We start from the raw sequence: 27,665 nt of genomic DNA, 5'->3' as shown, positions 1-27,665 counted from the left end.
GGTTTAGCGATTCTCCTGCCTCAGCCCCCTGAGTAGCTGGGACTACAGGCACGTGCCACCACATCCAGCTAATTTTTGTATTTTTACTAGAAATGGGATTTCACCATATTGGCCAGGCTGGTCTCAGACTCCTGACCTCATGATCCACCCGCCTCGGCCTCCCAAAGCGCTAGGATTACAAGCGTGAGCCGCTGCAACCGGCCCACAAGAGTCCTTTTAAGTGCAAGAGGGAGGCAGGAGAGTAAGTTTCAGAGTGACAATGTGTAAGAAAGAGTCCACCAGTCACCCTTGGCTTCGAAGATAAAATTGGGTCATGAGTCAAGAAATGTGAGCTGCCTCAGAAAGCTACAAAAGGCGAAGAAACAGATTCCTTCTCAGAGCTTCCAAAAGAAATGCAGCCCTGCTGACACCTTGATTTTATCCCAGTGAGATCCATTTTGGACTTCTGGCCTCCAAACTGTAGGATAATAAATTTATTTTGTTTTATTTATTTATTTATTGAGGAGACAGAGTCTTGCTCTGTTGCCCAGGCTGGAGTGCAGTGGCGTGATCTCAGCTCACTGCAACCTCTGACGCCTCCCAGGTTCAAGCAATTCTCGTCCCTCAGCCTCCCAAGCAGCTGGGACTACAGGCGCTTGCCACCATGCCCAGCTCATGTTTTTGTATTTTTAGTAAAGACAGGGTTTTGCCATGTTGCCCAGGCTGGTCTCGAACTCCTGAGATCAGGCAATCTGCCCACCTCAGCCTCCCAAAGTGCTATGATTACAGGCATGAGCCACTGTGCCTGGCCATATTTCTTTTGTTTTAAACCACCACGTTTGTGATAATTTGTTAGAGAAGCAACAGTACACTAAAATAGTGATTATCATGTCCCTGAGGAAGTGATGCTGGCAAAAATCTACATATTAAGGAAACTCTCAGGGATATTTTGTCACATTGAAAGCAGAGAGAATAAAATAATGGAAACTCAGCCAAACTCAGAAAGGTGTATGACAATTCACAAGGTTTAAGATAGATACTCCCCATAAGTTACACAACAGGAAGAAGGCAAACACTGTTCAAACTGCTCCTGGTAAGTTTCTTACAAAGAAATAAAACCCTTTAATTCTCAATGTCGCTGAAGTTTTTAATAAATTACAGTATACTGTTTTACTATTTTTTCATTTCCCTATGCATTTATAACTATACATTTATAAGAGAAAGTCTAAAGTTTTAACAAAGCATTCTTTCAACGAAGATTTTTAAAAGTCACAGAACAATCCAAATTTTCCCCATTGATTATTAAAATAGCTTTGCCCGGTTTCAACTTGCACGGTCATTTTTACGGTCCTGCATCACCTTGCAAAGCAAGGACTATCTGTGTGTGTTTGTATATACTCTTTCCTAAAACGAGGCTGCAATGTGGTCACTTTGGTATGACCTTCAAGCTCAAATGACAAGTCACTGTCCCTGGTTGTCCAGACCTCCCTACATTCTGGGCCTCCTGCCTCTCCAGCACAACATCCATTGCTTTGTTCTCAGGAGCCTTTGCTGCAATCAAACCGCACAGCTCACTACCTCCTGAACATGTTGCTTTCTGTTTCAATGCCTTTGGAAAATTTTTCCAGACTTAAATCCCCAAATATCATCAATGCCTTCCTTATTAGCACAGATACTCCCTTATCTAAATCTTATGCAGCCTTCAAATTACAGTTGTTTCTACTTTCCTCCATCAGCCTGAGTGAACCATTTTAGCCTGAAGGGCTTTTCCCCCACTCTGCACCCTCGTTCCCACACACTACTATGAGCAGCCAGGGTTTGTACAGTTTTGCTATCCCAACCACAATAAAGATTCCTGAAGGGAGGCCACATGCCTTACCCTTCGCTACATCCACCATAAAGCCTAGCACCGTCCCTTGCACAGATGAAACGTCCAGATCATTAACAGCCAAGATCACAGAAAAGCCTCACTGATGGGGACATTCTCAGATTCTGTGAGATGCACCTTCATCTTATTCATAAGAAATTCCCTGGGGGCGAATTTACCAGTTACAGTTGACACTGTGGTTATTGTACTTGTCTAAGCATATAAAAATAGCCCAACTATTTCCTCTCTGGTAAGGTCTTGTGAGCATCTAAACTAGAACCATTAGTAAAGTGGTTGCATACTTTCTTCATGACCAAAATGCAAACAAGGCTCCACGGAATCTAAAATCTAACCGAGTTCCTCATTGCCTCGTAATTCAAAAGTAGAGGAGAGCACCATGACTATAAGCCTAACCAACCTAAATCCTTTCTCGAGCCATTTCAGCCTCAATTTTCCTCACCTGTAAAATGGAGATGAGAACCTACCTCAAAAGTGTTACGAGAAGAAAATGAAATAAAAGAATAAATATAGGGGCTGGGCACAGTGGCTCATGCCTATAATCCCAGCACTTTGAGAGGCCAAGTCGGGCAGATCGCTTGAGGTCAGGAGTTTGAGACTAGCCTGGCCAACATCGTGAAGCCCCGTCACTACTAAAAATACAAAAATTAGCCGGGCGTGGTGGGGTGCGGGGGAGCCTGTAATCCCAGCTATTCAGGAGGCTGAGGCAGGAGAATCGCTTGAACCCAGGAGGTGGAGGTTGCAGTGAGCCGAGATTGTGCCATTGCACTCCAGCCTGGGCAACAAAGCGAGATTCCGTATCAAAAAAAAAAAAAATGAATGAATATAGAGAATATTGCTCCTACCACCAGCACCATCACAACACCCCGGGCTTCCCCCATTAAAGGCAAGCTCCTTTGTGACTCTGACAGGACTGCAGATGGAGCAGGGGTGATGTAAGTGCAACGGGCAGCTTGATCCATGTTTCCTTCAACTTGGGTTTCCACCTGTCCTTGTGCAATGGGCCCCGTCAGTCCTTCCTCTTCCTTGCCAGCTTCTGAGCAACTCAACATGACTCAAAAAAGTCACCCATCTGAGCTACAAGATTTCACCATAAATTCTTGGTCTCAAGTCTCAAGGTGACACTCTCCACTGACCAGCATTTCCACTGATTTTCTCTAGTATATCTGCTCTACAACTTCTTACCTCACACTATCTCTTCCTCTCTCCTCAAACCTCCCTAATTCACACTCCCAACTTGAATACCAAACTCCCAACACATGCACCAAATGAATAAATGAACGGTTTGCTTTGGTATTCTCAATCATTCTCTAAATATGAGTAGGCATCCACGCTGTACCATGCATTATTCTAGGTCCTGAGGCACAGCAATAAACTGTGGACAAAGTCCCTAGCCTTGTGGTTTGGAGTGTAGACAGGACAGAAAAACAACAACAAACAAAACAAGGTAGATATACATTATGTCAGATGGAAATAAATCCTATGAGAAATGAACTAGGGAAAATAAAACCTGTGGCTTTGTTATTCACCACATATTTCCCGTCTCTTCCCAAACACATGGTAGGACTGCTCCCCACCCCCACTCCCAAATGAAGTGAGGCATGGCAGTGTGACTTGCTCTGGCCAAGTAAATGAAAGCTATGTCACTTCCAGGAGGACCCTTTAAGAGCCAGGGAATCATTCTTGTTCTTTTCACCTGCCAACGTGCAAGATGGTGGTTACTCTATCAGCCAGCTCCCGGGGCTGACGACAGTGTGGAGTGGACCCCTCCTAGGTAACTTGCAGTGGAGATGGAACACCAGTGAGATGCAAGCCTTGTCTCGGGTTCCTGATATTTCAGAGTTGTTTGCTACTGCAGCATAACCGGGGAAGGAGGGGTGCCGTCTTTTTTTGTTGTTTTTTTTTTTTTGAGATGGAGTTTCGCTCTTGTTGTCCGGGCTGGAGTGCAATGGCACAATCTCGGCTCATTGCAACCTCTGCCTCCTGGGTTCAAGCGATTCTCCTGTCTCAGCCTCCCGAGTAGCTGGGATTACAGGCATGCACCACCACAACTGGCTAATTTTGTATTTTTATTAGAGACTGAGTTTCTCCATGTTGGTCAGGCTGGTCTTGAACTCCTGGCCTCAGGTGATCCACCCTCCTTGGCCTCCCAAAGTGCTGGGATTACAGGCATGAGCCACCGCGCCCAGCCAAGGGGTGCCGGTCTTATCCAACCTGGTTAGGGAAAACCTTCTTGTAATGTGGATTTGAGCAGAGACCTGAAGATGTAGGCCTTGCAGATATCTGAGGGAAGGGTGATTCTGGAGGAAAAAAAAGCAAGTACACATGCTTTGAGATGAAAACATGCTCAACATGATTAAGAGATGATAAGGCTGCCAACTGGCAAAAGCAGAATGAGCACAAGGCAGACAGGGAGGGAGCTAACGTCAAACAAGTGGTGATGAGGGGAATGGTCCAGAGCCCTACAGGCCATTATGAGGACTTTAACCTTTCCTCTGGATGTGACAGGGTGCTTTGGGGAGGTCTAAGTAGAGGAATAACATGATTGGACATGTTTTTGAATGATCACTTTGGTTGCTAAATTGAGAAGAAATTACAGTAAGGCAATGGTGGAAGATAGTAAACCAGTTAGAAGGCTGTTAGGGAATCCAGGGAAGAAAGGAGGATGTTCAAACCAGCAGGGTGGAGGTGTAGATGAAGAGGGAGGTTGAAACTGGGATATGTTGTGAAGGTACTGCAGGCAGGATATGCTGACTAACCGGGTGCATGGGCAGATGGAGAAGTCAAGAATAAAATTAAGTTTTGTTCTGGACAACTGGAAGAACTGTTGGCAGTTACTGAGATGGCCCTGACTAAGTTTACTGACATGTTGTCTTTCCTACCTACAAGATCTGGGCCCATCTTGCAATATGCTCCCCCAAGCCTTCACCTGCCAGGTCTCTCTCTCCTCTCTACCAGTGCCACTCAAAATAACCAGTCTGCAAAGTGCTACCAGCTCACAGTGGGGTCAGAGTTTGTGCCAAATGTGAATCAACATACTGCCTCCTTCAGGGATGAAGTCCTGCTATGAAAACATATCAACTAAACATGTGCTGTGCTCAAATGTTACCTTATCCTTTGTCCTGCTTTTTTCATAGCACTTAACAGTGGATTTAATAGTGATCCATCAACTCTATGATTCAAACTGATACACCATTATTTTTAGTGCCACTAAAAAATAAACGCTGCCAAATATAATTCTAAGACGTCATCAATTACAAGGCACGTTCCAATTTTAGAATCATTAAAACGTGGGACCTAATGCATTTTAGAATCAAGGAAATATGTTTATTGGTCTATTGTCCATCCGCCCATCTTCAGTCTCCACTAGAACACAAGCTTACTTAGGGCATCAGCTTTGTCTGGTACATTCCTTGTTGCAGCATCCCTCATGCCTCCAATAGGACCTGACACATAAAGGCAGTCAAGAGTGTTTGTTAAACAAAAGGGGAGTGATGTGAAGGAGGTGCTCACATACTGGCGGGAGGAACCCAAGTGTCCACTGGCAGATGAATGCATAAACGGGTAAACAAAATGTGGCATACACATATAATGGAATTTAATTCAGCCTTAAAAAGGAAGGAAACTGGCACATGGAACAACATGCATGAACCTTGAGGACATTATGCTATGTGAAATAAGCCGGTCACAAAAAGATAAATATTATATGATTCCACTTATTTGCAGTACCTAGAGTAGTAAAATTCACAGAGGCAGAAAGTAGAAAAGTGGTTGCCAGAGGCAGGGTACAGTGGGCGGAGGAAGGGGGAAATGGGAAGTTGTTTAATGGATACAGAGTTTCATTTCTGCAAGATGAGAAGAGTTATAGACATCGGTTGCACAATATGAACGTACTTAATACTACTGGACTATACACAAAAATAGTTAAGATTGTACATTTTATATTATGTACATTTTACCACAATTAAAAATTAAAACTAAATATAAGCAAATATTTACTGAACTAATAACTGACCCTATTTACACAGCCATTTTAATTCTGTCCAGGACCAAACAAACCCCTAAAAATACAGATCTGATAATTACCATTAAGTATTCCTCTCAAAATGAGCAAAAATCACATCTCAGAAACCTATGTGGAAAGCAATAATACACAAATATCCAAACAGTTGCACATCACAGGATAAGTATATAGTATCATTATAGACAACAAGATTCGCTCATCAACTCAAGATTTGTACTTTTACTACGTAAAAATTTTAACTCAAAAACCTTTAAATAGTTATTATTAAACTCTAGGGAATAACAATGCACATTTAAGTGTTTAGAGAAAATGTGACTATAATCTACTTTGAAATGCATTTTTAAAAATCATATGGTACTGATCAAATAAATAAAGGGATTGATATTTGCTAAAGCCAACATAGTAAAATGTTAATTGTGTAGAATCTAGGTGGTGGGTATATGGGTGTTCAGTGTACCCCTCTTTCTACTTTGTGGCATGTTTGAAATTTTTCATAATTAAAACATTGGGTGGGAGGTGCACAGTGAATCATAGAATCTGAGAGCTGAGAAAGGATTTCAATGAAGCAAAAATTAATAGAACTGAAATGGGACGTAGATAAATCCACAAATATAGTTGGAGAATTCAGCACTCTTCTCACAGTAATCGATAATACAAGCAAACAGAAAATCACTGTTATGGACTGAACGTTTCCTCCTAAAATTTGTATGTTGAAGCTCTATGCTGACTAAGTTTGGAGATAGGCCCTTTAAAGAGGTAATTAAGGTTAAGTGAGGTCATAAGGATAGATGGAGCCCTAATTCAATGTGACATGTCTTTTAAGAAAAGGGAGGGACCCAGGGATGCTTGCACACACAAAGGAAAGACCATGTGATGACACAGCTAGAAGCCAGCAGGCTCCTGCAAGGCCCCAGGAGAAACCAAACCCGCCAAAACCCTGAGCTTGGACTTCTAGCTTCTGGGTCTGTAAGAAAATTAATTTCTGTTCCTTAAGCCACCCAGTCTGTGGTATTTTGTTATGGCAGCCCAAGCTGACCAGTAAAATCAGTAAGGATACACAAGACCTGAAAAACATTATCAACCAATTTGGCCTGATTGACATTTATAGAACACTCCACCCAACAACGGCAAGTTACACATTTTTTCAAGTGCATATGGAGCATTCACCAAAATAGACTATATTCTGGGCATAAAAGAGTCCTCAAAAAAATTTAAAGGAATTAAAATCATATAAAGCATGTTCCTTGGCCACAAAAAAATCAGAAGCCAACAGCAGAAAGATGGAAAATCCCCCAAATATGTGAAAACTCAACAACACATTTCTAAACAATATCTGGGTCAAAGAGGAAGTCACAAAGGAAATTAGAGTATATTTAAAACAGAATAAAAAAATGAAGCACAACCAAGCAAAATTTGTGGACTGCAGATAGAGCAATGCTTAGAGGGGAAAATGTAGCATAAAAATGCTTATATTAGGAAGAAAAAAGGTCTCACATAATGGTGTAGGTTACAATCTTAAAAAAAAAAAAAAAAAAAAAAAACAGAAAAAGAGAAAGAAGAGCAAATTAAAACCTAAGCAAGCAGATATAAAGAAATAATTAAGAGTAGAAATCAATGAAATGGAAAAAACAAACTATAATAGAGACAAATCAATGAAACTCAAAGCTGGTTCTTGAGATCAATAAAACTGATACACTTCTAGCAGAAATGATCAGGACAAAAAGAGAGAAGACACAATTATCAGTATCAGGAATAAAGAGGAGGCATCACTACTGACCCCAGAGACATTAAAAGGATAGTAAGAAGTTGCACAACAATGTGAATGTACTTAATGTCACTGAACTGTACACTTAAAAATAGTTAAAACAGTAAGTTTTATGTTATGTATTTCTTATCACTACTAAAATGTCTTATCACAACTAAATTTTTTTTTGAAAGGGAATGTTAGGAAATACTTTACGCCCATAAATTTGATAACTTAGATGAAACAGGCAAACTCCTTGGAAGACACAACCTACCAAAGCTCATTCAAGAAGAAATGGGTAACTTAAATAGTCCTACAGATATTATGAAATTGAATTTATAGTTAAAAGACTTCCAACAAAGAAAACTCCAAGTCTGATGGCTTCAGGGGAGAATTCTACCAAGCATTTAAATACCAATTCTATACAAACTCTGTTACAACACAGAAAAATAGAGAACACTTTCCAACTCATGTTATGAAGCCAGTGTTACACTGTTAGCAAAGCCATGCAAAGATATTAAAAGGCAAAAAATAGACCAATATACTTTATGAACGTATTAACAGATGCAAAATTCTCAACAAAACATCAGTAAATCAAACCTAGCATTATATAAAAAGAATACATCATGACCAAATAATGCTTATCCTGGGAATGCAAAGCAAATCAATGTAATTTACCATATCAACAAGTTAAAGTATACTATGAAACCATTCTCATCCTGCCCAATTACTGCTTATTCTATGAAACCAATTTGTCATCAATCCATAAGGCTAAACTGACCACTTACTGCTATGTAATTACCAATGGGCTACCCCTTTGATCTAACCTCAATTATTAATTACTAATATAACCAACTAGTAACTACTAATACCAACCAACATTTATTAAGCACTTAGGAAGTGGAGGTATTAGCATCACACTTTATGTGTGCTACTTTGCTCCTGCCACTCCCACTACAGGGCCTATGTGCCTGTTACTCTCTCTACCCAAAATGTTCTTCCCACGTCCAGCTTATTCTCACCATTGAGTCCTCATTTCTAAGAGCACCTCCTCAGAGTGGCCTTCCATCGTGATTTTTTGCTTTTGAGTGCATCATCCTGGTTAATTTACTCTGTGGCATTCTTTACTACTTGAAATTCTTTGTTTGCTTCTTTGTCCGTCTCCTTCATCAGAATGTAAACCCTGTGAAGACAGGGTCCTAGTTGTCTTGCTCACTGCCATATCCCCATAGCCAGAATGCCACCACTTAGCACACAGTTGCCTTTCAGTAACTATGTGGTGAATGAATTACTTACACGGTTTAAACCTCAAAATAACCCTATGAGGCAGACATCACTCTTCTCAGATTTATACAGAAGACAAAACTGTGACTCGGAGAGTACATTACCTATCCATGACTAGAAAATGTCTTAGCCGGGGTTCCTCTAAGAGTAAAAGGTGAGACAAAGGCTTCCAGGCAGGGACTTTATTTTGGAATGTGATCCCAGGGAGCAGTAGTGAAGGACACGGGGAGCGAAACAGAGGAAGAGTCCAAAGAAGGGCACTGTCAAGTAGGCGATCACCATGAGTGACAGATGTTTCTGACAGGTGCTGGAACCTGCAGGACTTTCCGAGAAGCCTTGTGAATGTGTCTCAACTACCATCCCAGGTGGAACAGGGCAGCATTTTTATCCATCAGCTTCCATCCTCAATGGTCTAGAGTGGCCATAGAAAAGAAGCCCCATGGGAGGAACACAGAAATAGGAACAAAAAACCAGCTTACACACCAAATGGGACTCTGTAGAAATAAAATAAAAGGTGAGGCTGAGTACACTGAAACAGTGTGCAAGAAGAAGCTAGTGAGCAGCAGAACCAGAATTCAAGCTCTGATAATCCGGACTACAAACACAACTGACTACACTGCACTGCCATATAGTGCCACGGTTCAAACAAATTTTCACCTTCATGGTGGATTTCAAGTGAAAGACATACACAATCACAAACAGCACTAATAGAAATCAAAGTAGTGCCCTGTGTAACAAAAGTAAATGTAATTGTGAACGAAATATAAAAAGACTGCAGTTTGTGGAGGTTGCAACACAGATCCAAGAAATCCATTTCTAGGAATTTAGCCCAAAGTAATTATCATAAATGTGCACAAAGATTCTGCTACAACAATGTTCATCGCAGCACTGTTTATAATAGTGAAAAGACCAGAAACAATATGAATATCTAATTGGGAAATGGGTAAATTATGTTCTATCCATAAAAATGGGATAATATTCAACATTAAGCAATAGGTTGTAGAAAAATATTTTGTACCTTGGAAAGATGTTCCTAAATAGTAAGCGCAAAATATTCTAGTGGTATTATTATACAAAAATAATATATAAATACTTTTTTTAAAAAAGCATCTACCAAAATATTAACAGAGATAATCTCTGGTCTGTTCATGGGAGATCTTAATTTTTTACCAAAAAAAAATCGATTTTGACAATTAGAAAAAATAATTTGTAACTAGTTACTAATTCAAGAAAAAGATCCATATGGTGAATCCTTATGCACTGAGATGGGGCAAGTCACTAGTAATCTTCGGCCTCTCTGTGAGCAGAGCCAGGAAGTGGTTCATACGCACAGAACCCAAGCAGAGATCAAACAGAAGGTTAAGAAAAAGTCACTTCTCTGCAGGAGATCCTTTTACCTTTGAAAACAGGGATGCTACAAATTTTGAGAATAACAGACAACGCATTAATCTAAAAGTAAAAATGCAAAATACCTCTCTGGCAAAGATAATATAAAAATATAAAGTTTAAGAATTCCTTTTGGGTCTGATTTCTCTTTGGTTTGACCTAAGTACATAGTCATTTCTTTGAGGCAATAAATACTAATCAGGCTTGGGTGACTACGTATTATCCTAAAATAAATATTACAGTATATGTGGATTATTTTATGCCAGGCACTGTGCTAATAAAAGCACTTTACATGTAATACCATCTCAGTGAATTACTATAATAGCCCTGAAGCACGAATTAATTATCAGCATTCTCTAGGTGAAGAAATAAACTAAGAAAGGCTAAATAACTCACTGAAGGTCACAGCTAGTTAGTAGAGGGGCTGGGATTTGAACTTGGTTCTGCCTGACTATAAAGAAACCATTTCTTTCTAATATATAAGAAGGAACTATGATAACTTTATATGTGTACTATTTTAATACTTAAGATATATCTTTTTGGTTCCACAAAACGTCAAGCACAGAATTATGACATGACCTAGCAATTCCACTCTGAGGAATATACCCAAGAAAACTGAAAACACAGGATTTTTTTTTCCACAAAAACCTACATACAAATGTTCATAGTAGCATTATCATAACACAAAAAGTGGATACAAACCAATGTCCATCAACAAATGAACAAAATGTATATCCATACAATAGAATATTATTCAGTCATAAGAGGAATGGATCCTGATACATGCTACAACATAGATGAACCTCAAAAACATTATGCTAAGTGAAAAAAAGCCAGTCATATAAAGTTATGTACTATATGACTCCACTTATATGAAATGTCCAGAATTTAAAAATCCATACAGACTGAAAGCAGATTAGTGTTTGTCAGGGACAGTTGGGAGAAGGTAATAGGGCATGACGGCTTAATACAGGGATGTCTAATCTTTTGGTTTCCCTGGGCCACACTGGAAAAGAAGAATTATCTTGGGCCACACATAAAGTACACTAACACTAACAATAGTTGATAAGCTTAAAAAAATTGAAAAAAATCTCAGAATGTTTTAAGAAAGTTTACAAATTTGTGTTGGGCTGCATTCAAAGCTGTCTTGGGTCGCATATGGCCCATGGGCTGCAGGGTGGACAAGCCTGGCTTAATGGGCACTCCGTTTCTTTCTGGCGTGATAAAATGTTCTGCAATTAAATTGTGGTTGCTGTTAATTGCACAACAATGTAAATGTACTGGAAGTCAATAAGTGAACATTTTTAAATGGTTAAAATGGCCAATTTTAACTGAATAAAAATATGTATCTTTTGGGTACTGGAGACACTAACCACAGGCCTTGCAAAGCTTAGTCCTGTGGGCTGTTACAGAAGCATTCTAGCTGAAGACAGACAGGTAGGGGAGCAACCCAGAAACTCTGCCTGCCTCCACAAGTCACGCATGTAAAAATACACACATCAAAAAGCCCTGTATGGTTCACACCCTTGAGAGGAGGAGCCGCCATATCCTACCACAACATTGGTTTTCCTATGTCTGACTACTTAACTATTTGGTAAACTTCTCAGGGTTCTCACAAGAATGGGGTGACTTGGTGTCTCATAAAGTAACTTTCTCATAAAGTTTTTCATCAGAAAGGAGCTAAACCAAAACTAAGGGCAGAAATCCACAAAAGCACAGTAAACCCATGCCTTGCAAGAGACACCTTGCACTTCCACTATGATTTATTCCTCAAGTCTCTGGACTTCCTAAAAGAAAACTTAATGAAACTTAGATTCGGTGACCACGTTAAGGAGGAATGAGTGCCTCCTGGTGATCGTCTCAACAAAGACTGTCCAGGGATCAAAAGGTTCCAGGTTTATTTTTGTTACAGCTGTTTCCCTACAGTGTTTAGAAGTAAAACACTGGAAGCCATCCATCAATCAGCTCCTGTCCCTAATGCATTGAGGAGAATTCAATGACACTGGACACCTGCCACACTGACCGCTCCTCATACAGGTCCCCAGACAACCGGGCAGAGTGCCTGGCTCAGGACAGCAGCCAATAAACACTTGTTATCGAAGCAAGAGTTATACAGTTTATCAGGAAAATAAGCAGGAGAAAGTGCTAAGAAGTTTCCAGGGAAAAAAAAAAAAAGGTCAGGAAAGAGAAGGACTTACCCTCTAGATACAAAAAATGTGCTCCACATCTAAAATACTTAAACAGTGTGAATTAGAGGGGAGGAAAGAGTGAGCTGTAAAATTTAAAATCCTAGTCCTGAAACAGCACCAAACACAGAGGCCTGCATGCCAGAGAAAAGTGTTTCAAATCTGCAAGTCAGCAAAGGCACTGGGCACCTAAATGTTCATTTTGGTCCCACCACTGTGGTGGCCACCAGTTGGGTTTATACTTCTTAGGGAGATTTTATACAAACATTAACACTATGATTAAATGTAAAAAGCAGTAATTACTAAAAGTACTAATTAGACAAGAAATGTAATTATAATGAAATAATAATTTTAAAAGCCAAAATAAGTTTAAAAAATTATGACTGTAACACACAAATATGGGATAAATCAGTTAACAGTTGGAATAACTCTAAATAAAGTAAATCAGGACGCTTACAGAAAGTTCTGGACCATGTGATAAACTGTAAGAGAGAAGAAATAATACTTTTCAAGTGGGGAAATGCGTGGTTAGTGGCAAGAAAACGTGTTGTAAATTCAAGTGCCTACAGAGGCCAGGCAGGCAGTGAAATGGGGGAGTCGATGGCAAGAAGGTGGGCACGAGCTCGGTGGACGCTGCCACCCACCTAACAACTCGGCCCTGAGGCTGCCAGATCATCCGCCTCAGGACATCACAGACACCTTGAATTTAGGTCTGAAATAAGCCAATTTTAAAGTGCTGGCAAGTAACTCTCCTCTCCAACCTGCCCCCCACAACCTCCACAGAGACCAAAGGAAACGCCTGGGGCCTGGAGAAGCACCGCGGGGTGGGCACCCATCAGCGCAGCTGAGACACCAGAGGGCTGCATGCCAGGGCGAGCGCGGGTAACAGCTGGCCCCAAGCCGGGGTGCCTCCCTGTGTTCAAGGACCCAAGAAGTCGGACTCAACCAAACAGGGTGACAAGTAAGGCTGCCCGAGCTACAAAGATGGTGCTGGAACGTCCCCAGGCCACACAAGAGGGTCTGCCTCCACAGAGTTTCAGCATAGCCTACGTGGGTCTGGGTTGGAGAAAGAGGGCAGGCAGAACACACGCCTGCATGGTGGAGAAACCCAAGTCTGGTTTTTAAAGCTCTGATGAGCCACGGGACCTCTCCCTGGGAGAAAAGCGTAAGAGATCCGAGCAGAAAAACCCTTGCAAGTTTGGGCTTCTGAGTGGCCCTTCAGCACCTAATGGATGGAGGGACTGACTCTGCCAACATCTCCAGCCACTGACGCTGAGCAACGGCCTAGCTGAAGTGGGGAACAAGCCCCACTAAAACCCCAAACACTAAAATTAATTCGAAAACGAGGAAAGAGGCCAGGCGCCGTGGCTCACGCCTGTGATCCCAGCACTTTGGGAGGCCGAGGCAGGCAGATCACCCAAGGTCAGGTGTTCGAGACCAGCCTGGCCAACATGGTGAAACCCCGTTTCTACTAAAAATACAAAAATTAGCCGGTCATGGTGGCAGGCGCCTGTAATCCCAGCTACTCGGGAGGCTGAGGCAGGAGAATCACTTGAACCCAAGAGGCAGAGTTTGCAGTGAGCCAAGATCGCACCACTGCACTCCAGCCTGGGGGACAAGGGCAAGACTTCGTCTCAAAAAAAAAAAAAGAAAAAAGAAAAGAGTCCAACAAAAACGACAAAACCAAGAAGACCACCAGGTAAAATTCCAGTCTAAGACAGCAGACCCAGGACACCTGTCCACGTTCCCGCCCTTCCAAAGTTGTTTCAAAATAAAAGAACCCTCAAAACACCAGCGAAATGTGTCCTTTCAACTGAGTCCAGAGAAAGAATCAACAAATACCAAGACCTGGGGAGGAATATGAACAATCTTCGGGAGAATTGAGGGCATTTCTCAAACTGCAGGCATTACCACTACAGCACCAGTTTCTGCCTGCCCTGATCCTGTTATTAATATTTTTCTTTAAATCACCTATGATTTACATAAATATTTTAAACGAAATTTGATATCACTACGGTAAATGGAAAACAAGTGTTGCTTTCTCATTAATAGGTGGTAACTATAAAAATAAACACACTGGGCCGGGCACGGTGGCTCACACCTGTAATCCCAGCACTTTGGGAGGCCAAGGTGAGCGGATCACCTGAGTTCAGGAGTTTGAGACCAGCCTGGCCAACATGGTGAAAACCTGTTTCTACTAAAAATACAAAAATTAGCCAGGTGTGGTGGCGGGCATCTATAATCCTAGCTACTACTTCGGAGGCTGAGGAATGAGAACCCCTTGAACCAGGGAGGCAGAGGTTGCAGTGAGCCGAGATTGCACCACTGCACTCCAGCTGAGGCGTCAGAGTGAGACTGTGTCTCAAAAATACACACACACACACACACACACACACACACAAATATAGGTTGGTACAAAAGTAATTGCCATTTTACCTTTAATGGCAAAAACCGCAATTACTTTTGCACCAACCTATAACAAAACAAAGTTATTAAAGACTAATATTACTTCCTGCTCTTTTTGTTACAATAGGAAAATAGCCTTTATTAGAGAGGTCTTTCAGACTAGCACCACATCAAGATTTTCTCTTTGATCCGATCAGGAATAGTAAGAACTGAAAAGGGCAGTTTGAATCACGGTGCGATGAAGGAGTAGATGGTGGGATCTCACCACGGGTCTGATTAGCCCTTTCTCTGCCTTGCTTGAGCTTCAGCAGAACTCGAAATGGCTGACGGTAAGGCTGGGAAGGACTCCGGAAAGGCCAAGACAAAGGCGGTTTCCCGCTCGCAGAGAGCCGGCTTGCAGTTCCCAGAGGGCTGTATTCATCAACACCTGAAATCTAGGACGACGGGTCACAGACATGTGGGTGCAACTGCCGCTGTGTACAGCGCAGCCATCCTGGAGTACCTCACCGCAGAGGGACTTGAACTGGCAGGAAATGCATCAAAAGACTTAAAGGTAAAGTGTATATTACCCCTCGTCACTTGCAACTTGCTATTCGTGCAGATGAAGAATTGGATTCTCATCAAGGCTACAATTGCTGGTGGTGGTGTCATTCCACACATCCACAAATCTCTGATTGGGAAGAAAGGACAACAGAAGACTGTCTAATGTATGCCTGGATTCCTTGTTATCTCAGGACTCTAAATAAAAGAACAGCTGTCCAGTGTTGGTGATGCCAGTGGACTATATTTCTGTGAAAAACACAATTTTGTCTTTTTGTAATTCTATTTGGGCAAGTTGGAAGTTTAATTAGCTTTCCAACCAAATTTCTGCATTTGAGTCTTAACCATATTTAAGTGATACTGTGGCTTCAAGGAAGCTATTGATTCTGAAGTACTGGGCTTTGATTGAGCTGACTGTTTTTAAAAAACTGTTTGGATTTTAATTGTAATGCAGAAGTTATAGTAACAAACATTTGGCTTTGTACAGACATTATTTCCACTGTGGTGGATAAGCTCAATAAAGGTCATATCCCCCAAGAAAAAAAAAAAACAAAAAGAAAAGAACTGAAAAGGGAGTCATGACCTGACTTCTATTTCAATGATGTTTACTGCTGGGCTGACACCCTGTCTAAAATCATCTCCAGTGGTGCAAATGCCACCGAACAAGCATGACAGCAGTGGGGCCTCAAACCCTTCCCCACCCACAGTCTACAAACAGCCTTTTCACCACCATCCCAGTTGGAAAGAAATTTATTTATTCCCCCAAAATAAAATCCTAGAAACTCTCCAAAAAGGGTGGGGTGGGGGACAATCTGCTTAAGGAGAACAATGAGGGGGTTGGAGGTCTGCAAAAAAGTAGAAGAGAGCTTGGGGTAACTTCAAACTTCCAAACCAGATCACAGCACAGGTGACGGGGAACGGACAAGGAGGGTAATAAGAAAGGCAGCTTCACTCAGGAGTAAAAGCCACAGAAAGCAATGAGCCACCCTTTGACGACTGCAGGGGGTTCTCACAGTCCTGCTTCCCCCACCACCACCTACTCCCCACCTCTGCAACCTATATGCAAACCAGCCTATTCATATTCCTTGCATACTAGAAGAGAACCTAGAGTCAGCCCTGCCATTTCAAGTTTGAGCCTCTTGCGGGAAAAGGCTGTACCCACAAACAAAGAGGAAACCCACACTAGGTACTTAGGAATCCAGTCATTCAGGACTGCACAAGAACGGCCAAGCAAGATCCAGAAGTTCACCACTCGTGTCCTTACACGAAAAAAATTTACTCCAGGAGGGATTCCAGGAAAAAAAAAAAAAAAAACAAACCAAAGATGCCAAGGCAAAAAATGATACAAGATTGAAGAAACAGCAGGACAGGTTTTCTGACCTAAGTTCTAACCCTGGCTCTACAATAAATACACAATCAGGCCAGGTGCGGTGGCTCACGCCTGTAATCCCAGCACTTTGGGAGGATGAGGCAGGCAGATCACTTGAGGTTGGGAGTTCGAGACCAGCCTGGCCAACATGGTGAAACCCCATCTCTATTAAAAATACAAAAATTAGCCAGGTGTGGTGGTGCACACCTGTAATCCCAGCTACTAGAAGGCTGAGACAGGAGAATCGCTTGAACCTGGGAGGCAGAGCTTGCAGTGAGCTGAGATCACGCCACTATACTCCAGCCTGAGCGACAAAGCAAGACTCTGTCTACAATAAAATAAAATAAAATATTCTTATCTTTTGATTCTATAATTCAACATTTATGATTATTTCTTTAAAATGGGGTTAAAGATGCAATCAATAACTTAGTTACAAAGATGTTCTAAGTGTTTCTAACGGGAAAATACTGCAAAAAAAACTTATTTTAGTACGATAAAATGTTATAATCGACCGGGTGCAGTGACTAATGCCTGTAATCCCAGCACTCTGGGAGGCTGAGTCGTGCGGATCACCTGAGGTCAGAAGTTCAAGACCAGCCTGGCCAACATGGTAAAACCCTGTCTCTACAAAAATACAAAAATTAGCTGGGCATGATGGCAGGTGCCTGTAATCCCAACTACTCGGGAGGCTGAGGCAGGAGAATCACTTGAACCCGGGAGGCAGCAGTTGCAGTAAGCCGAGATCACACCATTGCACTCCAGGCTGGACGACAGAGCAAGACCTTGTCTCAAAAAAAACAAAAAAAAAGTTATGGATAGGGCGTGGTGGCTCATGCCTATAATCCCAGCAACTTGGGAGGCCAAGAAAGGCAGATCACCTGAGGTTAGGAGTTCGAGACCAGCCTGGCCCAAATGGCGAAATCCCATCTTAAATAAAAAAAAAAAATTGAAAAAAAAAGTTATAATCATTCTAACTCACGTTTTTTAATATCTGAGATGTTGGAAGAACATCAAATGTGTATTTGAATGCCATTTCTGTATAAAATCAAATGTATAGGTATATGTATATGTATATACATGCGTCAGAAAAAAAAAGAATGCATAGATAAGCAGGTACACAGAAAAAGTCTAAAAGAATGACCACTAGACTACCAACAATGGTTACGTGGGCGTGGGAATCATTATGTGGGACTAATCCCTTCTACACTACATAAAATATTTGTATAATTTTTGAACTTTTTCAGCATGTTTCAGTTTTGTAATAAGGCAAAACAAAGATAATGGTAAAAGTTGGCTTTGAAGATTACTTAATGACATGGAGTGAATTCATTCAAGAAGAGTAAATGAAAAAAGCAGAATATGAAACTGTAGATAGGCTGACCTTTCCTTTAAAAATGTGTATTTATATGCACACATAAAGGAGAAAAAAATTTATACAAGAGCAATATAGAAATAATGATCAAATCTGGGCAGTATAATGAAATGGAAATTTATGTTTTTTTCCCTATATTTTATGTCCCCCAATAAATCTTAGAAACAGAGTTAATAAAGTCAAACAGATTTCTCTGTTGTACGGCTGCAAAGGATCTTTGAAGTGTTAATCTGCATCGTCAATGTCAAAAAACAATATGGCCAACAACATTCCCAACCTAACTTGGCTACAGAACCCTTTCCAAAGATTAGTGTCATGCTCTTCCCATTGTATCACGTCCACTGAAGGGACTAAATTCTGGGAAATGACTGAAACAATGGCAATGTAACTTAGAAAGCCTTAGGGAAAAATCTGGGGGGAAAATCATGATTTAAATAAGGATTACTTTATAATTCTCATTTACACTCATAATTTAAATGAGGGTTAAAACTTCAGGAGCTCCTCATAGTACCATTTCACAAAGCACACTTCAAAAATGCTAAATTATTGATGAGATATGCTTTAGCAAGTTTTGCTTATTAAAATGCTATAAAAATGCCAATTTTAAAATTGCTTGATGTAAGATAGGTTCCACCTATATTACTAAAACTGATATTGAGACAGGTTGAGAACGGAAAAAGTTGGAAAAGGAAGATGACTTGGTAAGGGAAGAGAAAAACAGAGGATACACAAATAAAAACAACTGTAGAGCACTAACTGCTACAAAAGATCCTAATCAGGACATAAAACATGTCTACCAAAGGTAAACTGGATCTTGGTTCTGATGTGGGGAGAGGCAGACTTGTGCACTGGCAGCCAGGAGAAGGAGCATGGTAGAACCCAGGAAGGAGGCTGCCATGGTCCCAAGGGGATGAGGGAAAAGCACACTGCCAGGACACAATGATGCAGTTTCCAATGACCAGGGCTCAAGCTCTACACTAACCTGAGCTACTAACATCACTCGCCTGAGACGATCCCAGTGGTTGGGAGACACACGGAGATAAACTTCTTTAAGGCTGAGAAGCAGTAGTGAGCAACACAGAACAGGCAGCCAGACCATCTGGGTTCAAATCCTAGACCTGCTCCTCAGCAGGAAAGTTACTTAAGTGTCTGTGCCTCAGTCTCCTCATCTGCAAATTGGGAAGAGTAACTGTGCCTACCTAACAGGGCTGTTATGAGAATTAAGTGAGTCAATATAGGTAAACTGCTTAGAACAGTGCCTAACACGTAGTATTTTATCATTAAAACCAATAATAACTCACACTTATTAGTCGTTGATTGAAAAGGTGTAAGAACCATATAGACATGTAGCACCCTTGTTTAAATAATGATTCTTTTTCCCAGATGTTTGTCCTAGCACTTAACAAGTCATATTGCCATTGCCATTTTCCACTAAAGGGACTAAATTTTCATTGTATGATACAGTAGAAAGTACAGGCTTTGGACGCAGGCAAATCGGAGTCAAATCTCAGCTCTTCCACATACTACTAGCTATGTGGTCTTCGACAAATCATTTTCTGAGCGTGAAAAGACTCGTTTGTGGAGGGGAAAAATAACAATACCTATCCTCATAGGGCTGCTGTGAATACGAAATGTAATAACTTAAGAAAAGCAATCTTTTCTCCCTTAAATTGCTGGTGGAGTTTAAATTGGTACTACCCTTTGGGATTGGAATTTGGCAGTACGTACTAAAAGTTATACGAGAATACACTTCATTTAACCTTCTTTCACTTCTATGAATATCTGAAAGTTAAGATGCTCTTGGCATTACTAAAATAAAGGAGGGGAGAAACAACCTAATTCTGCAGCATCCTAGGGGAATGCTTATGACAAAGGGAAAAAGCGGGGCCCAGCATGGTGGCTCACACCTGTAATCCCAGCACTTTGTGAGGCCGAGGTGGGTGGATCACCTGAGGTCAAGAGTTCAAGACCAGCCTGGCCAACACGGTGAAACCCCGTCTCTACTACAAGTATAAAAATAGGTCAGGCGTGGTGGTTCAAGCCTGTAATCCCAGCACTTTAGGAGGCCAAGGCAGGCAGATCACCAGAGGTCGGGAGTTTGAGACCAGCCTGACCAAAATGGAGAAACCCCGTCTCTACTAAAAACACAAAATTAGCCGGACGTGGTGGTGCATGCCTATAATCCCAGCTACTCAGGAGGCTGAGGCAGAAGAATCACTTGAACCCAGGAGGCGGAGGTTGCAGCAAGCCGAGATCACACCATTGCACTCCAGCATGGGCAACAAGAGCGAAACTCCATCTCAAAAAAAAAAAAAAAAGAAAAGAAAAAGAAAAAAGCGGAGCATATACATGCTCATTATGATTACATTTTAAAAGATTCTCTTGGGTGGAAAAAAGGCAAGAAAATAGTATTGAGATAAATTTATTTTTACCTATTATTTAGATATTCATTTTTGTACTGGAAAAACAGCAGAAACACCAAAATATCAATAAATGCCATTTTATTTCTTCCTAGTGCTTTCCTACATTGCACTGAACTCCTTTCCTGCATCACAGAATTGTCTCTGATGAACACGTACTCATTTTATAACAAAGTCAGTTATTTCAAAACAAGAACATAAGTGTATAGAAAAAGAAAAGACGAATAAATTAAATGAAATGCTAGGACCGTTTTTTTTCTATTTTCCAAACTTCCTATAGTGTGGTTAACGTTACTTTTACGATGAAAAGAAACATTTTCTAAAAGCATCCTCTCTTAAGCTTGTCCCTCCCTAGTTAATGCCTAGCTTTCCTTTTTAGCTAAATTTGTTTTTTGTTTTGTTTTTTGAGACAGTCTCGCACCCAGGCTGGAGTGCAGTGGAATGGCATGATCTCGGCTCACTGCAACCTCCGCCTCCTGGGTTCAACTGATTCTCCCTGCCTCAGCCTCCCGAGTAGCTGGGATTACAGGCGCCAACCACCACGCCCAGTTAATTTTGTATTTTTAGTAGAGATAGGGTTTCACCATGTTGGCCAGGCTGGTCTCGAACTCCTGGCCTCAGATGATCCACCCGCCTTGGCCTCCCAAAGTGCTGGGATTACAGGCGTGAGCCACTATGCCCAGCCGCTAAAATTTATGAAGAGTATATTCCTTGGAAGTTTCAATAATACAGCCCCCAAAAACTTAAGACTGGTGGGGAAGAGTGTGTCCCCAAGAGTAAACGAGCTGTTCAGGTTTGGGCAACCCAGGCCTGGTTACAGCAGAAAAGTATAAACACTAAAGCCTGCCTTAAAGAAGAGAGCCAAACAGTTCCTGGCCCACAAACAGAAAACCAACCAAAACAAGATGATCAAACAGGAATTTCCACTAAGGTACCAAAAGAGAAGGGCTGCTGCCACCAAAGGGAGGCTCCATAGCAGAATGCAGAACTTTCCAAGAGTGATTGCAAGGCAGTCCCCTGATTCCCACAGTCCTCTCAGCCAGGTCAGGGCTACAGACAGTGGAATGTGAGGGTTCCCTCCCGTGAAGACAGGACAGGAGGAGGGGGCTTTGTGAAGTGAATCCTTGAGGGGCTGTGAGTACAGCCACACCTTCATACCAAGCTGAGGTAGGGGCTCGATGGCCTATTTCATGTGCTAAATCTGTGACCAGCAAGGGTACAGTGGATCTCCAACCTGGGAAATCTAGAGAGCTGGAAAAGCCGTGCTGAGCACTGGGACCCACATGCACAGCCAGGGCAAGGAACACGCAGTCCCAGCCAGGCTGTGCGCGAGAGCCAGCAGAGGGTCTTAGGTTCAAACAACAGTGCCCCCAGGCAGGCCAAAAGGACTCCAGCAGGAGGAAACTATAGGGGGATCTAAGTTCCTAGGTGCTGAGGAGTCACCAAAATAAACTGGCCAAAATAAATCGACCAAAATAAAGATGCAAACCCCCAGGTCAAGGAGGCAAAAGGGATAGAAGTCGGGAGTCTCTGAAGAGCCCACTGAAGCACCTGCAGGACACAGGGTCAGCTTTAACTACGTGCGAGGCTCAGGGAGCCACAGAAGAACAATCTGAGAGCCTCACCTCTCCTTCCTCCTCCTATTCCACTCAATCCAGAAACTAGTGAAGTCAGACACAAGAAATCTGAGGGACAGAGAGGAGCCGAACGCACCAGAAGCCTGTCACACCGCTTTTTCGGACAGAGATGGTTGCCAACTACAAGTCTTAACTGGGAAAAAAAGGGGGGAAAGTCTAATCTTTGAATGAAGACTGAAGTGTTAATATATTGAACTGGACACTTTTAATTTTTAAATGGAGCCTACATTTCAAGACTTCTATCACCTAAGATCATCACCTTATGTGGCCTTTTACTTCCTATTGAATCCTGAGAACCTAGGAGACCGGCTGGCCCACAGGAGTGCTCAGTAAGTATCTGCTGAATCAGTTAATTAAAGCATAAAGGGTAAGTCACAAGGCCTGACAGCTTTTCATAAAAGCAAACAGCTCCCCAACTGAGTGTATTTTAAAGAGACAGTGAAGGTGGGGCATGGTGGCTCATGCCTGTAATCCCAAGACTTTGGGAGGCAGAGGAGGGCGGATCACCTGAGGTCAGGAGTTCAAGACCAGCCTGACCAACATGGAGAAACCCCGTCTCTACTAAAAATACAAAATTAGCCAGGCGTGGTGGTACACGCCTGTAATCCCAGCTACTTGGGGGGCTGAGGCAGGAGAATTGCTCAAACCCAGGAGGCAGAGGCTGCAGTGAGCCAAGATCACGCCATTGCACTCCAGCCTGGGCAACAAGAGCGAAACTCCACCTCAAAAAAAAAAAAAAAAAAAAAGAGACGATGAGAGGCAAAAATAAAGATTTATTTGCATCATCTCCCACACACTGAATGCATACTTAAGAAAGAATGTCAGTAGGAACACGGTTTGCTCCTTCATGAGAACACAAAAAAAAGAGCCTCAGGAGTCAATGTTGGTGTCCATTTTAGCAGTATGCAGGGGACAGGGTATTCAGGTTCCGAAGGCAGGATCCTAAGCTGGAACGAAGGTGGAGAGTGCAGGCCTCAAATGACCCCACCAGTCCTGAGGGCTCACCCAGCTCTACAGTGAGACAAATGTCCACACCACAGGCTGACACCAGTGGACCTTAGGCTCATCAAACTTCTCTAACTGCATCTGGCCCAAGGCTCCCTACCAAATGTTTTGGATCAAACAAGAGTTTCACTCAGAGTAGCTCAATGGTATAGCGGGACGGAAGCAGGCCACAATGAGCCCAGAACAGGGCCCCGCCATCGAAGAGTAGCAGACTAATTGCACAAGGCTAAAAAGTGAAGGGAGATGAGAACAGGGAAAAAATAAGGGAAGATCACCTTTTAAGAGCTGGAAAGAAGGTGGTCAGCAGTTGGGAAGGTACATGATAGAGTTGTTGGATGGGTTATACTTTTGCATTTTTAAGAATAGGCTCAGAAGAAGGATCCAGTTAATACTACTTAAACCTGAGTAGTTACTATGGCAAAATTCTAGGAGCTCCACACATACTAACTTTTCTGATCTTCCTTCCCATCAAGAAAGCATCTGAAGTACAGGTAGTCTCACTTCCAGGCCTGTGTGCTACACCTCTATACTCTGCCCTCTCACCAAATAAGGATGCAACCCCCAGGTCAACGCAGCAGCAGGTAAAGACTCCCAACTCAGGGAGGGGTGCCACTAAGGCACCCGCAGGAGAAAGCATCAGCTGTAACCACGTGCCAGGCTCATTCCTGCAGGAGAGAGAATGAAGGTAAAGAAAAAGCAAGAGTGGTGCTAGAAAAGACAGGGAAGAAAGAGTTCAGAATCGGTGGAGGGTGGGCCTCAGGAGAAGGCTGCTTCATTCTTCTGGATTGGAGGAAAGGAACAAAGCTGAGTGTGGACAGAAACAAGTCAGAGAGAGGGAGCAGGAAGCGGAAGGAGCACCCAGGTGATGGCCCCGATTTTTTGGATGGGTGAAGAGTGAGATGGTGGGTGAAGAGATGGGGAGAGACTGAGAATAGCCTTGAGCCGAAGACAAAATAGAGGTAGCATAGGGAGATGACTGAATCCCAGAAACTTAGCTGAGAAATGAATACCAGAAACTTAGCTGAGAAACGGTGCCAAGGGCCCAGACTTGACCCCATAAATCAATGCAAAGTTAGGGTTTTGCTCGATGAGCACCACAGAACAGACGTGCCAGGTCTCCGAGAGTCTGGATGAGACCATGGCTCCAGTAATGAACTACAGGTTCCAGACTGGATATGAAGAAAGAGATGCCACAAATGGGCTGATACACTGGAGACAAGGAGGGATCAGAGGCTGGTGAGCATAGCCATGGTGGTGAGCAAAGCCAGGGAAGCGGCTGCGGGACGCGTGATTCCGTGGAAGAAGGCACATCCATCCGCTGGACTAGGGGAAGAGACGCAACTCCTCCTACAGAAGCCCCCAGCTCTGCCTACTTTCTGCCTCCTCTTTCTCTATCCATCCCTTACATGCTGGAATGGGCTGAAGGTCTGTCCTCAGCTTCCAACTGTCCCCCCACCTCTGGAGTCCTCACTCACACCCACAACCTAACTCTCACCTACTCATGTCCAATCCAGTCCAGCTCTGGATTTCTTTCCCCAAGTGTCCCGAGTACCTCTGACCGGACTCTGCAAACCCCTCAACACTGCACAGGTCCAAAGCTGAACTCATCTTCTCCTGAAATGAGCTCCTGCTTCTCTGCATTCCCTCTCTAGTGACTGGGAACGTTACCTATCCACCCAGCTGCCCAGGCAGTAAAGCAGAGTCAGCTTCAACTCCTCCCTCGCCGCAGATCCAATCAGCTTTATTGACACAACCTACCAGAATACACATCTTTAGAATCCTTCTATCTTGAGAGCTTGTTTGGAGGTTCTAGCAGGGGAGCGCAGCTACTCGTATACCCTTGACCAAAGACCGGTCCTCCTCTATCGGGGATGGTCGTCCTCTTCGACCGAGCACGCAGCTTCGGGAGGGACGCACATGGAACGGTGAGGGAGGAAGGGGACACCCGCCTAGCCAGCCAGATCAGCCGAATCAACTCTGGCGATCAATGGGGTGACAGATGTCACAGCCAGATCGCCCTCACATCCAAGAATCCTTCTATCTTCTATCTTCTCTCATCAGCGCACCAGACTCCGTTCTCTCTGCCCTGCCTGTGGCTGCCCTCCTGCCTCCATCTCAATCTGTTTGTCCATTAAAATGTCCTGGGGTGGGGGGATGTGGAGACTTTAAAAATACACATTTCTTAAAACAAAAAATAACAGGTTTCTGACACTCATGCTAGCTCTTCTGAATCTGACCCTCTGGGGAGGAGACCCAGGAAGGTGTACATTCAGAAAACACCGTGATTGATTTTTTTGCAGCTGGGACAGGAGCAGCGTTTGACAACCACCGCTCCGTGACCAAGAGTAACCCCTCCTCTTCCCTCCTACAGCAATGAGAAGCATACCTGCCCTGGGCCCCGGATCCTCACCTCCTCACAACTCAGTCCTATCACTCATTCCTGTCTGTATCTTCAACCACACCCTTCCCACTGGGTTTTTCCCAACACCTTTTAAACAAGCTAAGCCTCCTCTCCACTTAAAGAAACTCCCCCAACCGGGCACAGTGGCTCACGCCTATAATCCCAGCACTCTGGGAGGCCGAGGCGGGCGGATCACGAGGTCAGGAGATCAAGACCAACCTGGCCAATATGGTGAAACCCTGTCTCTAGCAAAAATACAAAAATTAGCCGGGTGTGGCATCACACACCTATAGTCCCTGCTACTCAGGATGCTGAGGCAGAAGAATTGCTTGAACCCAGGAGGCAGAGGTTGCAGTGAGCTGAGATCACACCGCTGCACTCCAGCCTGGCGACAGAGCAAGACTCCGTCGCAAAAAAAAAAAAAAAAAAAAAGGAAACGAAACTCCCCCTTACACCTGCGGCCACCTCTAACCACAACTCACTCTCTTGATTCTCAGAACCGAGATCTTGAAAGCACTTTCCAAGCTCACTGTCTCCATTTATGTCCCACTCACTCCTCACTCATTCCTCAGCTAATTATAATCTCACTTCTCTCCCCAACTACTGGATGAGCTTTTCTGGAAAGGTTCTGGGGGGGCCTCTTTCTTTCCCACAGGTCGCGCTTCAGGCCCGTTTTGAAAATCTCTGCAGCGTGTAATGCCATCAGCCACTCTCCCCTGAAATTGTCTCCTCCCGGGTGTCCCCCTACTTCCTTGGCCATTCCTCAGTTTTCTTCCCTGGCACCTACTCTTCTCCCTCTTTAAAGTTTAAAATGTTCACAAGTTCTGTCCCTAGTTCTTGTCTCACCTTCCACTGTCCTCTGAAAGACTTCACCACACATCTCTTACGAACTGCTCACTCCAGCCATAACCACCCCTAATTCATTGCTTCCTGCCTCTCTGCCAAGCCCTGTCCAGGCTCTGTCCCTCCCAGAGGCCTTCTCCACACTATGATGCCTGCCAAACTCTCAAAAGTCAGCCCAAATATTGCTACATTGGGAAGTCTTCCTTAACTGTGCCTCCCCACAACCAGCCTACCCCCTGCAATAAACCCACAGCACCGAGGACAAACGTTCTTTTTTAAAAAGTTTTGCCCCAATAGACAGTGAACTCCTTGAGGGTGGGAACTATACCTGGAAAATATTAGGCATGCAATTAATGTTGACTGAGTCCATCATTACACAGTAAACATACTGTGAGGTAAATAGGAGCTTATTAATAAATGCAGTGAATGATACACATATTACTCAACGTAGAGCTGAGTGACAGCATTGGTCTACAAGTAAGGAACCTAAAATAAGTCATGATCACTAATCCTACGCACTTTTACCCGGTCATAATTGCAGACAGCAATATAGTTTCAAGCACTTGAAACAGGCATGGCAGGGTGTTTTCAACTGCATTGTGTCTGAAACTGTATTGCTGTCCCCTTTCTTCAAAATGAAGAGTTTTCAACAAACTCTGATATGGCTTGCTCCTTCACACCATCTGAGCCTCAGCTCAATGTCACCTTCCCGGCTACCCTCCGTGACCATGCATGCTAAAGTGGTCCTCCACCATAACTTCGGTCTTTGCAGTTACCCTCTCATTGTCTTCATGTCACTTATCACTATGTGAATCATACTGACTTGTTAGCCTGTTTGATGCTGGTCTCCTTGATCCTGCTTATTACTTTATCCTCTGTATATCAACAGTGTGTGGCTGATATGGGTACCCAACAGACACTTATTGAATGGATGAGAGAGAAAGGCAAGTTTAACACTAAAATACTATTATCTACTAACCACAAAACGTGGGAAACATGCAGGTGGTAGAAAATGGCAGGGATTTATCCCTGGAAAGGGACTGTTATTCACCACCCATGGGGGTAGGGCTAGGTACACGTGTCGTCCTTCTTTCAGATTCTTGCTCAGGATCAGAATTTTGATTTGCTAAAGGGTCCCTCAACTTATCTAAAGGAAATCATAGGCAGTGGCTCACGCCTGTAAT

The 27,665-nt window shown here is 43.0% G+C and overlaps 1 protein-coding gene and 2 pseudogenes across 5 annotated transcripts in view, besides 3 other annotated features; 1 reads left to right on the top strand and 2 right to left on the bottom strand.

Moving 5' to 3' along the window:
* Positions 1-27,665, bottom strand: part of UBAC2 (UBA domain containing 2) — a 185,651-nt gene that overhangs the window by 155,533 nt on the left and 2,453 nt on the right. The gene's annotated exons all lie outside the window — the stretch shown is intronic.
* Positions 2,914-2,983: an enhancer, noted in NCBI's record as "active region_7932". NCBI's record gives its function as "activates an Ori minimal core promoter by ATAC-STARR-seq in GM12878 lymphoblastoid cells {active_cell/tissue: GM12878}" and the evidence as "EXISTENCE:reporter gene assay evidence [ECO:0000049][PMID:35858748]".
* On the top strand, positions 15,113-15,900 carry H2AZP3 (H2A.Z histone pseudogene 3; annotated as a pseudogene).
* Positions 24,888-25,388: an enhancer, noted in NCBI's record as "H3K4me1 hESC enhancer chr13:99857838-99858338 (GRCh37/hg19 assembly coordinates)". NCBI's record gives its function as "activates a minimal SCP1, AML or CMV promoter by ChIP-STARR-seq in naive H9 embryonic stem cells {active_cell/tissue: H9 hESC(naive)}" and the evidence as "EXISTENCE:reporter gene assay evidence [ECO:0000049][PMID:30033119]".
* RN7SKP9 (RN7SK pseudogene 9) lies at positions 24,966-25,264 on the bottom strand (annotated as a pseudogene).
* Positions 25,452-25,551: an enhancer, noted in NCBI's record as "active region_7931". NCBI's record gives its function as "activates an Ori minimal core promoter by ATAC-STARR-seq in GM12878 lymphoblastoid cells {active_cell/tissue: GM12878}" and the evidence as "EXISTENCE:reporter gene assay evidence [ECO:0000049][PMID:35858748]".

Source organism: Homo sapiens, chromosome 13 (assembly GCF_000001405.40).
Source record: "Homo sapiens chromosome 13, GRCh38.p14 Primary Assembly".
In the NCBI taxonomy this organism is placed as follows: Eukaryota; Metazoa; Chordata; class Mammalia; order Primates; family Hominidae; genus Homo; species Homo sapiens.
This window is presented reverse-complemented; position numbering and strand designations above follow the sequence as displayed.